Source organism: Homo sapiens, chromosome 5, assembly GCF_000001405.40.
Source record: "Homo sapiens chromosome 5, GRCh38.p14 Primary Assembly".
NCBI classification, from domain to species: Eukaryota; Metazoa; Chordata; class Mammalia; order Primates; family Hominidae; genus Homo; species Homo sapiens.
Window position 1 is genome coordinate 111,957,704 of NC_000005.10, and position 16,224 is coordinate 111,973,927.

General features: G+C 36.4%; 1 protein-coding gene and 1 long non-coding RNA gene across 3 annotated transcripts in view; one reads left to right on the forward strand and one right to left on the reverse strand.

Annotated features, from left to right (window-relative positions):
* The window catches only part of NREP (neuronal regeneration related protein), a 248,131-nt gene that overhangs the window by 228,902 nt on the left and 3,005 nt on the right, over positions 1 to 16,224 (reverse strand). The window lies entirely within an intron of this gene.
* NREP-AS1 (NREP antisense RNA 1) overlaps positions 1 to 16,224 on the forward strand; it is a 104,799-nt gene that overhangs the window by 45,196 nt on the left and 43,379 nt on the right. The window lies entirely within an intron of this gene.

Sequence of the window (16,224 nt, forward strand, 5' to 3'; positions counted from 1 at the left end):
TATACACACACACACACATATATATCTGTAATTTTATATATGTAAGGTATGTGTACAAAATACAACATAACCAGGTAAGTTAGGAAGTATAGTTCATCATTAGAAAGCCTATCAATGTAAATACATTAGGGAAAAATAGACACTTAAAAAGTCACAAGAAAAGCATTAAGGACAAGAAATATACATTTGACTACCTCAAAATTTAAATGATCATCTCAATAGATTAACGATGAACTTGATAAAAATGCAACAATACCCATTCATGATTAAAAGAAAGAAAAAAGCCCAGCAAAGTAGCACCAAAGGAGAACATGCTAAAGTGAAGCTTTCGAAAGCTAACAGCAAACACCTTATGAAATAACAAACTTTAGAAGCATTCCCATGAAAGCAAGAATAAGAGACATTATTTTTCATTATATCATAAAATTTATGTGTAAAAATAAGAAAACACTTTAACTCAAAAAAGAGTAATGTGATATATTCTATTTTATGTTTTATATCTATACTCTTAAATTGTTAAGAATTAAAACAGTTGATGAATTATAATACTATAATTTTAATTTTTCTAATTTACATAAATAAAGCTAATTGTCTTTATCCAGAAAAAAAATTGGACATAAATCCCATCTAATGCAATAAGAGAAACAAATGAGATATAAAGATGAGAAAAGAAGAAACAAAATTGTCACAATTCATAGTTGATAAAATTTACCACATAGAGAAATCCAAGGAAGGCAAAATGCAGTGTTTTAAAACTAAGAGGAAAATTCAGCAAAGTTTCTGGGCTCACAATTGATATTCATTCAAACATTTATACTTATTTTTACACTTAATAGCCAATTTAAAAAATTTCATTCAAAATATTAACAACTCAGAAGCACATAGTTTAATCTAAAATACACAAGATTTTTAGCTAAAATATGCACAAAGCTATTGAAGACATAAAGAAGAATTAAATAATTAGAAAAACAAAACATGTTCATGGATAAGATTCAACATTTAAAAAAAATTCTCTAAATAATTTATGATTTTATGCAATTCCAATCAAAAATTCCTATAAGAATTTGCAAAAACACAGACAAGCTGATTATAAAATTTACTTTATAAAGCTGTATGAATATCAAGAATTTTTTTAAGGATAACATTAGAAGTTTGTGCTACCACATAGCAAGACATCAAAAATAATTTAAACCATGTTATCTTCACAAGAATGTACAAATAAAGTAATGAGACAGAATAGATAGCCTTACGGTATATCACAAATCCCTGGGGAAGGACACTGTTCAATGCAGTACATTTGGTTTTCAGAAAGAAAAAAAAATTATATTTCTACCTCATACAAGAAAAAAATTAGATTGGTTAGGAAACTAAATGTGGGAATCAAAACTGCAAACCTATTAAAAGCATGAGTTAGGGTGGGAAAGGTTTTCTTAAGCAAGTTGCCAAAAAAAGCAAAAAGAAAGATAAATATATTTGACTATATAAAATGTACAATGGCTGAACATCAAAATATACTCTAACTTACTCTGTGAGTTCACTTATGTACATTTTTAAGTAAGCAAAATTAGTCTATGGTGATTGAAATCAGAATAGTGGTTAACTTTGAGGAAGGGGTAAGTGAGTAGTGATTAGAGAGGAGTATAAGGCAGCCTCTGGGGGCTGATGTTCTTTTTTCTGATCTGGGTGATTACACTTTCTGAAAATTCATCCAGCTGTATACATACATGTGTACTTTTCTATATGTACATTAGCTAAATTTAAAATTTAAGATAAACACAGATAGTCTAAACATGATTAAAAGGCAAACACAGCATTGAAGAGCGTTTAGATTAGATATAAAGAAAACTTAGTATCCAGAATATATATTTTTGTAAAACTTCAGAAAATCAAATTAAAACAATATACGATTTTTGACCTATGGTCAAAATTGACATGAACTTTTAAGACCTCAAATATCAACAGTTAAAGAATTATGAAAAATGGTATTTGTATATAAAGACATTGAAAAAATTACTAAGTTGAACACTTTAAGAAGCAATTTATCATCATTTCTATTAAAACTGAACATTTGTATTCCTTACAAACCAGCAATTCCACTGATGTATATACACCATACAGCATTAATTTTCAAGCTGTATATTGTGGCTCATGAAGAAGTTCATAAATCAACTTCATGTATTATATGTATTATACATTTATTATATGTATTATAACCAGGATTTTTTCATGAAATGAAAATAATAAAATAGTTGAGGTGGGAAAATACCAAAATACTGGTCCATGGACAGCTGCCAGTTTAAGACATGCTTATTACTAGCCCAAATGAAGAAATCAGAGTCAAGTTTTTCAAAAAACTAAATTTGTTAATTTAATTTTTTAAATTCTGAGATTGTCCTCACAACTTTTTGAGTATAAAAATAGCTCATTCTATTACAAATTATGTTGATTCTTAACACTGGCTGTGAGATTTTTAACATTCGCACCTAGCAAAATTAAAAATCAGAGAATCTGTGTGCATCTTCAATTGTTTTTCTGAAATCTCACTATATTCAACATCCCAAAGCCTGACTCACTACTTTATTCCATACCTCAGCTGTCCCAAGTAGGTCAAAGTCATAGATTGATCCTTTAAAATGGCATTAATCACTCACTCATTCTTTAACATATTTAATGGATTAATATGAAGGGGGTTGAGACACACTGATCAATTAGGTTGATTTAATTCCACAGAGAGGACTTGCAAAAATATGTGCCATTGTTAACAAGGGCATGCCAATAGAAATAGATGGATCTTTGTAAATCCATCATCACTGTGAAAAACAATCCAGGGGATAGGTCAAAAACCTCATCTCTGTTTGAATATAATAGTTCATGAGTACTGTATTAGGCAATCTGAGTAGGCAAGAATTTAGAAAATCAAAGGGCAGTAAAGGTCTAGAGCCCACTTGAATTGGCTCACTGGAGCAGTTGTGACAAATAGAAATGGAACAAGCTTGGTATTCTAACATGGGATTTACACTTAACTCTGACTCATTCTCATTGTATCTAAACTTAAGTTTACAGTCTAGAAATAGACGTCTATATATTGTCTAAAAGTTTAAATGCCTTGCAAGTTTTACATTAAAAATGTTAAGCAGTTAGGTATTTATAAAGCTGTAAAAGATGAAAAACTGATCCTTCAGTTATGTAAAGACTATAAAGTAATTTTAAAAAATCAATCTATGAGCCAAAATAACTTCCAACATTATGAAATATTTTTAAAACATTTATTGAGTCATAAAATGTTGACATGGTATGGCAAAAGTCCTGGCTTGGTCATATTTTAGATTTCTGCCCATTGACAAATTACTTTCCACTTCCAATGTCTGTAACATTTATCTTAACCCTTCCCACTTTGCAAGTGAAGAAGCTGAGGCCCAAAGAGGTGACAAGACTTTTCAAGGCCACATAAGTAGTTAGGCCAGAACGAAGGTTCCCTGGCTGTCAGTCCACTGATCCATGAGCTGCAGCACTTTGCTTCTCATGGATTATTTGTAAGCGGGACAGAAACTGAGCCCACTCAAGATGAGTACACCTTACCCACTCAGCCACCAGTGCCCAGTGGATTTAAGTCTGAAGAGGAAAATAAGTGTTAATAAGCAGCACAAAATGCAGTATTCTTGTCCAAAAAGAAGCAATAAGTGCCAAGTTCCATTCATCTGTGGTCCACTTAGCAGAGCTTCCTTAATTTGACAATAAAATAAAATAACATTTGATGTAAGACCGTTTTTCTCCCTGGCTTCCTTTAAATGGTAAAGACATGCTCTGAAAATATTCTAGTTTCATTTAAGACTGTTTTCTGTTCACTCAACTTCAAAGGGTTTTTATATGGTATTTTAGGATTATAAATTTTGCCATTTTTCTAAGAGGAAAAATACTTGCTTTTATTTACTCTACATTTATGGATTTCAAGTGACCCTATAGTTCCTGCATATAATGTCTTCCTGTTCTGAATCCTACACTTCAGGAAGACTTGAATATTACTGATTCCCTAATCTCTCCTGGTTTTATGAACTAGAGCTCCAAATATAAATGCCTTTAGAGACTAAGCAACAACATAAACACATGAAGTGACCATTTTGAGTGGTGAGGACTTAACAGGAGAGTTCACGCCATTTATTTTATTCTACCTGGATTTTGAAATCATGTAGAATTATAACAGAAGTATTGGGGAGAATGTCAGTGAGCAATTAGCTAAAAGCTTTGGAAGAAGGGAAGAAAAACTGAGATGATCATTTAAAAAGGGAAGTCCTGCTTTCTTTCAATTCAGGCTCCAGTCAAGTGTTGAGTGACAAATCCCAGAGGAGGAGGCAGGATTCGTGCTCTAGCAGCCTCCACAAGAACCAAGCTCAGGTTGCCTAAATAGTTCAGTGCTGTAAATAGTTCAGTTCCAGTACCATGGCTCTTTTATCCTAGCTTTGACCAATGATGACTACATTTTGTTTTTAATCACCTACAGTTCCTTTCCTATGCTTTATTTTGCCTGAGAAAATGCCTTTATTCATTAGTTTTAGCTAAGAATACATGATCCTAAACTTACATCATTAAAAAAAAATCACTGATGTAGATGACTGAGCCAAAAAGCAATAATAAAACTGAAGCACAAAGAGCACCCCTGGCATTCTCCAATCCCAAACCCCCATTCATCTACAAAAGGAGAGAAATCAGTATCACAGAAGAAATGTTCAAGCAGCTTTTCCTTTCTTAAATAGTTGTTTCCCTAAACTGTGCATCTAAATACCCAATTAATTTCTCAGACAGAATGATGGTGATAGATGTAGGAGGCAGAGAAATCCTAGGCAGACAGGGGCAGGTCCCCAGCAAAACCATATCCCTGAGCCAAAAAGCTTGAAACCCGCAGTCCAATCCCTGTTTGCCCACTCTCTCTCAGTTGATTATTTCTGAATAATGTCTTTTTGTTAATTGAATGTTGCCTTTTCCAAAATTACCTACGCCCTGCCCCATCCCCCATTCTGTGCCTATAAAGACCCAAGACTCAGTCGGTAGAGAGAGAAAGAAGTGGATTGACTGGAAAGAGATAACTTGACTTCAGAGGGACTGCTGGACTTTGGAGGAGAGATGGCTGGAGATGGCCAGACTTAAGGGAAGGTTATCTGCCTGTCTCATCCCTTCTCTAGCTCCCCTCTCCACTGACAGCCACTTCCATCACTAAATAAAATTCTCTACCTTCACCATCCTTCAAGTGTCCATGCAACTTCATCCTTTTTGGACGGCAGACAAGAGCTTGGGACCCAACATGTGTGGATACCCAAAAAAGGCTGTCACACTGGCCATTTGCCCTTGCTGGTGGAGGGCAGCCGCCCTGCGCAACGAGGCAAGGGGCCCACTGAGTGGATAACACATGGCTGTCCACAGACAGCAGAGCTAAGAGAGAAAAACCCTCTGGGGCTTCAGGGGTCACAGGCACCCCCAGCTGAGCAACGCCATGGGGCCTGCATGGAGCCTGCTCCTGCCAGCGCCCAAAGCAGCCAGCCAGATCTCATACTCGCTTGCTCACGTACTCCCTCACACAAGAGGTTGAGCGTGGTGGGCCAAGTAAATGGGGCACCCCCATTGCAAGTCCAACAATGGGGTCCAGAAAAACTCCTGCATCAAGCATCTCAGAGAAACTCTCTTGACCATAAGCTACAGGCCTTAGACCAAAATATAATTCCACCAAGAAAGCACAAAAAATATGTTTTTTAACTGGCCATTTAAACCAAGTTCAGAATGAGAAGAAATAGAGCAATTTGAGAACTGAGACAGTCAATTAAATGAGACTAAACTTCTCCCTGAAACCCTGCCCAGAGATGTATTTCAGGGCTTTCTACTAGCCATGCTGTTTTCATGGTTGTATTTACTGCAGAAGTTTCTGTGATCAATTTCACAAATTTCAAACAGTTTGTACTCAAGACCAGTAGTTTGTGAGCTTGAAAAAGGAAGAAAAGACAGAATGAATTGATAACTGATTAAAAAATAGAAAGTTACAGCAAGAAGGGACTCAGTTGGTTCAATTCTTCATTTTACAGGAACAGAAACTGAGCCTTTGGTAGTGCCATGGTCAAAACAAGAAAAATGTGAGTGGTGATCTTGATTTTAATTTTTTTCTAACTTCATATCCACTTCTTTTTCTACCACTCAACACTGCCTGTGTTGGTAAGGACTTTTTAAAAAATTCTATTGAAGTAATACCAATGTGCACATAGAAGAGCAATTAAACAGATATACATTTTAAAAGTTAATAATAATAATGCAAGCACTTGTGAAATCACCAGCCAAATAAAGAATGAGAATATTGTTAGTCCCAGGGAAACCTTCACATGCCACTCCTTTTTGTACCTCCTTCTTCCCTCTAGGGTAAATCGTTCTCTTATGTATGTAATAGCCGTTCCCTTGCTTAATAGTTTTACTACTTATTCCCCAAGAATGTATTTTCTAATTTTTGCTTATTAAATAGAATCACATCATATGTAAACTTTTTATCTGACATCTTTCATTTAACATATATTTTGAGATTTAACAAAGTTGATGTATAGAGCTATAATTTGTTCATGTCATTGCTGTATAATATTCCACATATTTCATATATGTAAATATACCATATTTTAGTCATGTATTCCACTGTTTTGGGGGGGTTTTCTTTGAGACAGAGTCTCACTCTGTCACCCAGGCTGGAGTTCAGTGGCACCATCTGGGCTCACTGCAACCTCGCCTCCTGTGTTCAAGCAATCCTCCTGCCTCAGCCACCTGAGAAGCTAGGATTACAGGTGTGTGCCACCATGCCTGGCTAAAAATTTTTGTATATTTAGTAGAGGTGGGGTTTGCCCATGTTGGCCAGGCTGGTCTAGTACTCCTGGCCTCAAGTGATCCACCTGCCTCAGCCTCCCAAAGTCCTGGGATTACAGGAGTGAGCTACCATGCTGAGCCTATTCTACTGTTGATAGACAACTGGCTGTGTCCAGTTTGGCTCTATTATAAAAAATATTATGAACATTCTTAAACATGCCTTCCAGCTTACATGTACAAGAGCTTCTTTAGGGTATATACCTGTAGAGATTACAATTTCTAGGTTGTGGAAGGTGCACATAGTCTACTTAGAATGCTTTCAGCAGCAAAAAAAAAAAAAAAAAAAAAAAAAAAAAAAAAAAAAAAAGAAACCATGTAATTCTAACTTAAAATTACTTAAACAATAAGAACATTTACTATTCCATGTAATAAGAAGTCCAGACGTAAGGAAAATCTAACATTGTTTATCTCAGTGGTTCAATAGTGTCATCAGCGATCCTGGTAATTTCCATCTTCCACTGTGCCATCCTTAGGGTCTCTCTCACTTTGCTCTCAGGCCAGGCCCCTCATAATCATGAGATAGCTGCAACAGCTCCAGATATTATATACAATCATGACTACACCCGGAGAGAGAAGAAGCCATCTCCTCTGATGTTTCTTTTTTGGTATAAGAAAACCTTTCCCTGAAGACCCCAGCAAACATTCTCCCACCTCGTAGGCAAGAATTGCATCACATACCCTACCTAAAGGAATCACTGGAAAGGGAAATAAAATTCATCTAAGCCAATTAAAATATTTAATACACACACTCAGAGCCTGAAGAGAGGCCCCTTCCCTGAGCACCTAAATTATTGGCAGGAGGTTGTATCTTTCACCCATTTCTCTTAACTTTTGCTGTCATTAAATATGATGATGTGTATTTTTATTATGAAAAATGAAATATCTAACATATGCACACTAGAGAGAAGAGCATAATAAAATAATAAACCCCATCCCATAAGCTCACCATTGCCCAGCTCCACAATTAACTCATGGCCCATTTCCCTCTGTCTATATCCCACCCATCTCCCCTATCTTCCCCTAGATTCATTTGAAACATATCCAGCTATAATGTCATTTCATCTGTAAACATATCACTATATATCTTAAAAGGACTCTTTTTAAAACCAAACCACAATACAGTCATGATATCTATTAAAAATAACAGTTTGCTAACATCAACAAATATACTGTCAATGTTCAAATTTCTCCAATACCTCATAAATGTGTATGTATTTAAATATTTTGTTTGTATTGGGATTCAAATAAGGCCCAAATATTACAAGTGCTTGATATGTCTCCTAAGTAGGACCAGTTATTCTTTAAAAAAAAAATCAAAGTTCAGTAAATGAGGAGGATGTACAGTTGAAGAAATGATAGCACAGGTTGAAGCCCCCAGGTTAACAGGCTGCAACCGTGATGTGAATGGCCTCCCTCTAAGATCCACAGATGATGGTCAGTGATCACACCCAGAGATGCTGTATCAGGGCAAGTTACATTATAATCTAGCAGAACTTTGTGTCCCTGAATAGGGCAAGAAATATTAAAGATTCAGATCTCTCAGGAAAAGCTTATCAAAGAGAAAAGAAGATGATTAAAAACTGAGTAGGGAAGAACATGGAATTAATCTTAATTTAATTTCAGCAAGAATTTGTCTTTAAGAAATTAGCCATTATCAAGAGATTCATGCAGATTGTGAAAGACCAGAAAGTTATAGTTCCCTGGAGAATATCTATTGATTAAAATGAAATTAAAAGGTATAAAAGATACTGGCTCCAACTCAACACTTCATTATAATCAATCTGCTTTTAATCTATGCTTTGTTTTTAAAATTAGGTTATAAATACTTGAAATTATTGGTATTGGGATTTTTAAAATGTAGAATTGAGAAGAGAAACTACTAACAGAAGGGGAAGTGATATAGAGCTAATAAGATCTCTTGCTGCTGTTTATTACTACCTTTCCTGCTTCTAAAAATGATTTGCAATAACAAATATATAGATTTGATAAGACAGGAAAAACATGAAAGCAGAGTAAAAAGGCAGGATTCAAAAAATGAGAGAAGGAGGAAAAAAGGAGAATTAAAGCAGAAAACATGGGCTTTAAAGGAAAGTATTATCAAACAGAAAATGAAGGCAAGAAATTCCTTTTACTTTATATACTTAAGCATTTATTTAATATTATTTTAAACAAGTAATAAAACTAACAAAACTTTAAAAAGCTTGCTGTCCTCTTTCTCCATTTTTCCAATCTGTTTTTTGTCCACTATGTAAGGGAACCAAGATCATAAGTCAGTTGTGGTAGTTCAATGAACAGAAAATGCTGAATACCAGCACAGCTTCTCCAGGGGTTAGGCATGGAAGAATGGCTGTGCCCAAGAAAGGGTCTAGGCCAGTGCTTCTCAACAAAGAGACATCTGGCCCCCAAGAGACATCTGGCCATGTCTAAAGACATTTTTATTTGTGCTGTTGTCAAACAAAATGCCCATTTGGGGTACTTTTTGTCATCTATTGGGTAGAGATCAAGACTGCTACTCAATACCCTACAATGCATTGGACAGCCCCCTAACAATAAAACTTATCCAGCCCAATACTCCAACAGTGCTAGATTGAGAAACCCTGACCTAGTGGATAGAGCTCAACAACTTCAGTGCACGAGCCCGTCATGCACCATTAACATTCACACAGTAACTTCTCTCTCCTTTGTCCAACAAATTCTTTCTTTATATTTTTTTCTTTGTCATTGCCTTCGCCATAATCAAAATGTAAAAACTCCTTTCTAGTTTATTGCAAATGATCTCCTGGCTCACTTTAATTCGTATTACACAGCTTCCTGATTAATTTTTTTCAGACATTGTAATTCATTCCCTCTCACCTAAAGAATTGCAGTGGCTTCCATTTTGTCTACCACAGCAAAGCTAAAGTCCTCATCCTGACACCAAGCTAGTCCATCAAGATTGATTTTTCACTTTTATGATTTTACCTTCAATCACCATAGCTTCTTTGCTCCAGCCAAGGCATTAGAAGATCTTCTTCCCTCTCTGTGAGGAACGCCTCTGCCCGGCCCCCGCCCTGTCTGGGAAGTGAGGAGCGCCTCTGCCCAGCTGCCGCCCCATCTGGGATGTGAGGATCGCCTCTGCCCGGCCGCTGTGCAACCTTCCAAGTGTGAAGTGACAGCCTTGTGTGTGATCTTTTCTGTCTTCCCCAACTTGTAAACTTTTTAATTTAAAAAAAAAAAGAAGATCTTTTTCCCTCTCTTTCCCTTCACCTGGTTCAACCTGCCTCCTGGTTGTTTTTTGCTGTTTGGTAAAGAATAATTCATGAAAAGTAAAAAAGTTTTTAAATTGCTTCTACCATGGATGAGCAGAACAATAGCAGAAACTCCTATTAGGTTGGTGCAATTACTTTTGCACCACTCTAATACAAATTTAAATAAATTAAAGGAATTTAACTAGGCTTCTCTTCATTTCCTATGTCAGGAAACTATTTTCAACATTAAAGACAAACAAAAAGGCTTTTCAAGCAAAAACATTTCAATTAATTATACTTTCTTATTTTCTAAAAGGTCTAATTAGTATAGTTTTTTTAATGAAAATGTTGCTTTAGAAACCAAGTAAATTAGGGAGATATCATTCATGCCTTTTTAAAAATCTTAAAAAAAAGGTACTTCAGGTTTAAAACACTTTCTTTACATATTAAACCCTACTGGTATAAGAAAAGATAAGTTATGAAAATTGGATTTACATTTTCCAGTAAAACCTATTGCATAAGAAAATTACTCCCCTATTTCAGATAATGGCTAAGTCCATAACATTTCTAGTACAGAAACTGGACATGTTTAGTTTGAATAAAAGAAAAATGAGCACTGTTTTAAAATATTTAAGAAGTTGTTATACAGAAAGATGATTAGATAAGCTTTCAAAGTTGCTTACTAGGGGAGAACCAGGACAAACAGGAGGCAGTTGCAAAGGGAAGATTTTTGGCTCTGTATAAGGAGGAAGTCATGTTGCCAATCTGATTTTGAAAGAGCTTCAGGAATGTCTCAACACCATCATTTCAGTTAGGAAAATGTCCTATGGCCAAAAACTGATGACCTTTCCTGCAGAATTCCCTCCTTAATGTGTCATGTGTGATGCATGCCCTAGCCCCACTACTTCTAGCTTCAGTTTCTCAGAACGTCTGGATCCCAGCTTCTTTCAGCATCTGGGCAGTACTACATATCACACTTGGATGCAATTATATTGCTTCTCTGCTCAACTGCAGAAGTCCCCCTGTTGTCTACAAAACAAAGTCATAACCCCTCAGCATGGTTTTCAAGGCCCTTCACAACCTGCTCATCACCACTCAACCCACTGCCTCAGCCAGGTGGATGTAAAATAGGTCAAACTTTGTTTCTTTTTAGATAGAGTTAAAGAACTGACTTAGGAAAATGTTACAGACACAATGCATCCAGAGAGTATAAAGGAATTTGAAAATCTATGGTCAAGTTAGAGAAATATGAACCAGATATCAGGACATTTAGGAGGATCTGTAACTAGATGATGATCAAATACTGATTAATGGAAGATTGCCAGCCTAAAAATGTTTCTAATGGTGGAACACAGAATGTTGCCTGCTCAATGACACGGTTAAAAATATTGAACTTGTGCTCATCACATTTACAGATTTCAAGATGCTGAGACAGAAAGCAAATACACTGAAAGGGAGAAACAGGAAATAAAAAGCTATATGACCAGGACACTGAACAAAAGCAGATAAAACCCAACAAAGGCAGGGAGACAATGACATCACAGAACCATTTGTGGGAAAGGCATAAAGATTTCATACACTTGCAAGCTTAACCTGAGTGTGACTCTCAATCAGAAAAGAAGCTAATATAATCTTGGGTTGTATTAATAGACATACAGTAGCCATAATAAAGAAGATAAACGTTCCCCCATCTTCTATAACCTAAATGAGAAAGGAATTGGTGATGGTTAGCCTGGAGAAAGAAGGTAAATTGATTGTTCTCTTTAAATATTTTTAAAAGGTGTCATGTTGAAGCAGCCCTCAAAAGTTCAATGTACAATGGGTAAAATAAAAGAGGAGATAAATTTGGGTTTTCTTTCTAGCAATGAGAACTGCCATAGAGAGAATAAGGTCTCCATTACTAGAATGGAGCAGTTTTACATATACTGTAGGTTGGACTTAAGTCCTAGAGAGGAGATTAGAATAAATAACTTGGTATTTTAAACCTTGAGATTCTACAGCTTGAGTATCCCAGAAAGCTGAGGGTCACTGGGTAAAAATGTGGTACTGGTGGATTGAGAAGGGTGGGGACTAGTGAAGGAAAGTTGCTCCATTCTCAAGAATTGTGGAGCAAAACTCTTGCTGTCTCTGAACAAAGCTCTATTAGACATGTTGAACTGTACTTCCACACTCATTTGGTACAAAATCTAATAATAGAATTATAGGGGAAATTCTCTTTCCATTTTATGCTTTGTAAAAACTTAAAAATGTTTCCTCTTCCTAAATACTCTGTAAGATCTCTTTTCTAGGTTGTGTACAACATGGATTTGCTAGGCATTTTCCAGGAGTAATTTTTCAACTATAATTAAGTAAAAGCCTGACAATCGATTGTAAAATAAATCTGGTACTGAGAACTACAATTTGTGGTTCTAATTTTTTTTTGAAATTATTTTGTGTCTAAGACAACTAGTAAAATAAACATATCTGCTTACATACATAGGTCTCTTCTTACATCGCTGTCAAAATGATGGCATTGGTCTGAGTGTTTTTGCTCTTCAACAATATTACAGGCATTTGGTCAACGTTCCTACAGGATTTACCTGTGCTGGCTTTGTATCGGTGATTCACGGACACATTCACTGTCTCAAGCTCCTAAGGACTTCCAGGCCTCTAGCGTGCCTATTTCCCATTCCCCACCACCTCATCACGCATTTCCTTGAAGCACTAGATATGGCAAGAAGTCTTACTGGGTCGGGCGTGGTGGCTTATGCCCGTAATCCCAGCACTTTGGGAGGCTGAGGCGGGTGGATCACTTGAGCTCAGGAGTTTGAGACCAGCCTGGCCAACATGGTGAAACCCCGCCTCCACTAAAAACACAGAAAGTAGCTGGGCATGGTGGCATGCGCCTGTAAGCCTAGCAACTCCAGTGGCTGAGGCAGGAGAATCACTTGAACCCAGGAGGCGGAGGTTGCAGTGAGTCGAAATCATGCCACTGCACTCCAGCCTGGTTGACAAAGCAAGACTCCATCTCAAAAAAAAAAAAAAAAAAAAAAAAGAAAGAAGAAAAAAGAAGTCTTGCTGGCCAGAGCTCTCAAAACTTCATTTTTCTGCCTTTCCTTTCTCTTGCGACAGCAGTTTCCAAATTTAGTGTGCATCAGAATTACCTAGGGAGCTTGTTAAAAATATGAATTCCAAGGCAGCATCCTTAGGTGTTCCGATGTGATGTTGACAGGGAGAAACCATTTTTAACAAGTTCCCCTTCCCCTAGTCCGGGTATATATTTATTATTTACTTATTTACACAGGAATTCAATAGATTATGCTTTGAGAAACAATCTCTAAAGGATTCAAAATTGGTATGAGGAGAGATGTACACTGTAGTACTTTTCTCATCAGACCTAATAAAATTTGTTGATGATCTACTTCTTTACACTAATGACTGATTAAAGTAAATATGTCTCCCCATCCATATACCTGAAAGTGACCTACAGATTCAATGTAATGTCTATCAAAGTCTCAATCACATTTTTTTCACAGAAATAGAGAAAACAATTCTAAAATTTGTATGAAAGCACAGAAGACCTTGAGTAGCCAGTCAATCTGTAGCAAAAAACAAAAAACTAAACAAATAAAAAAAACACCATGAAGCTGGAGGCATCACACTACCTGACTTCAAATACACTACAAAGCTAGAGTAAACAAATTCAGTATGGTTCTGGCATAAAAACAGACACATAGACCAATGGAACAGAATAGAGAGCCCAGAAATAAATCCATGCATTTATGGTCAATTGATTTTTGACAAACATTTCAAGAATACATAATGGGGAAAGAACAGCCTCTTCAGTAAACAGTGTTGGGAAAACTGGATACCCACACGTAGAAGAATGAAATTAGACCCTTATTTCATATCATAGACAAAAGTAAACTCAAGTGGATTAAAGACTTACATTTAAGACCTAAAACTGTAAAACTACTGGAAGAAAATGATGCGAAAAGCACACTAAGAAACAAAAAGCTCCTTCACATGGGACTGGACAATGATTTTTTTTAATGTGACCCTGAAAGCGTGGGCAGCCAAAGCAAAAATAGACAAAAAAGGAGTATATCAAAATAAAAACATCTGCACAAAAAAGGAAATAATCAACAGAATAAAGAGACAGCCTATGGAATGGGAGAAAACATTTGCAAACCATATATTTGATAAGGGGTTAAATATAAAAAATGTATAAAAAACTCAAACAGCAAGAAAACAAATAACCCTATTTAAAAATGAGCAAAGGATCTGAATAGACACTTCTCAAAAGTGGACATACAAATAGCCAGCAGGCATATAAAAAATGATCAGCATCACTGATCATCAGGAAATAGCAAATTAAAGCTACAATGAGATATGACCTCACACCTGTTAGAATGGTTTTAATAGAAAAGGAAAAAAATAACAAGTATGGATGAGAATGTAGTGTAAAGGGAACCACTGCATACTGTTGATGTTGAATGTGGTTGGTACAGTCATTATGAAAAACAGTACGTAGCATCCTCAAAAAGTTAAAAATTAAAATTAAAAATAGAACTATCATATTTCTACGTCTGTGGATATTTGTTTTTCAGGATTGCAGTGGTTTTCAAACCTAAAGATTCTAAACTCTTTGAAGAATCATAATGGCTCACTGATCTGCTTTAATTGCAATGTCCATTCATATGATTTTATTTTTTAATTATTTACTGACAACATTTACTGCCTTAGTGGCAGCAGTTCCTATGTCAGAGCTCAAAGCAGAGAATTAATATTTGTGCACAAGTCAAAGGGATGGGCTCCCAAGATGGACTGCAAACTGGGGTCACAGTCCAGGTCCCAGTGCTGCCCCCACGCCATACCCACCTCTTTTTCAGGGCCAGGGATACTGCTGTCATCACCACCAATCTAGACCCGAGTCTTGACCCCCAGCTGCACCTCACCCCACTAGGGGAGCCAAGGGATCCCAGACTGCCTAAGGCATGTGCTTGCCAGGTCAGATGCTCATTGTGTGCCACTGCCTGCTGCTAGGGTGCCTGCCAGCTTGAACCCATGTGGGCTGCACCTTCAGGGGCTCCTCTGCTCATGCAGATGTTCCTTATTCCATAAGCACAAAACTAAAATTATGAAGAATTCAAGAGAGCAACAGGAGAGCACTAAATCAAGTACGGGGCCCCTTCTGAGAGAAGGGTTGTGTGTAGCTGCACCAGGTTGTGCACCCATGAAACTGGCCCTGCTGGAAAGAGAAGTGATGCAGTTCCTGGGAATTAAGTAGATGTGACCATTTATGCTGTCATCTTAGGAGCACAACAGGAAGAGGGACTTCTTTCCTCTGTATTTTACTGTACTCATTTCTCAAAAATATAGCCCTCAGCATTTCTTCTGATCTTGCAGTGCCAGCAGCTGAAATCTTAATTTATAATTTTCCCTGCATAGCAAATTTGCTACCCCCTTTTAAAAAAAAAATGGTTGTAATTTGTTTTTCTTATTAAGATGAAACCTAATGGATCTGTGATGCTGAGCTATCTCTTATCCACACGCAACACTTGCAGGTATTAGCTTTTTTGAGAAAAAAGTATTTCTCCCACATTTCCTGAGCCATACAAAACTATTTTTAAACAATACAGATGCCAGTCATTTGAGTAGAATGGAGGCTTGTCAGAATTTTCACCAGAACAGAGTTTATTTTCCAGTCAAAAGTCTTGCATCCTGCGAAAATATTTAGTCTGGTGACCTTCACCAGCCTGCCAAGCCCTGTGACCCAAACTTTTCTGAAATTTCTGTGTTCCTATATTCTGCTTATCATAGTCTCTCCTCTACCTTGCTGTTTTTGCTAACTAGAATAATCATCATTCCAGCTCAAGCTTATGACTACCTTGGTATTCTGACTTATGGTCTGTTATTTTTGTGATTTAGTTTTTTACATTTAAGGATCTCTCTCCTTCAATTTCTATTCACAAGCCTAAATCAAAGCACTACATTTTGAGTCCATTTGTGTTCAGCAAACAAGGCATATTTAGAAACATTGAATATATGTTTACAGTTAACTTCTTTTTCTGTCCAAGTTACCTGGTTTAATGCTGTTTTATCTACCCCTAATTTGTTGTAAAGCATTTTG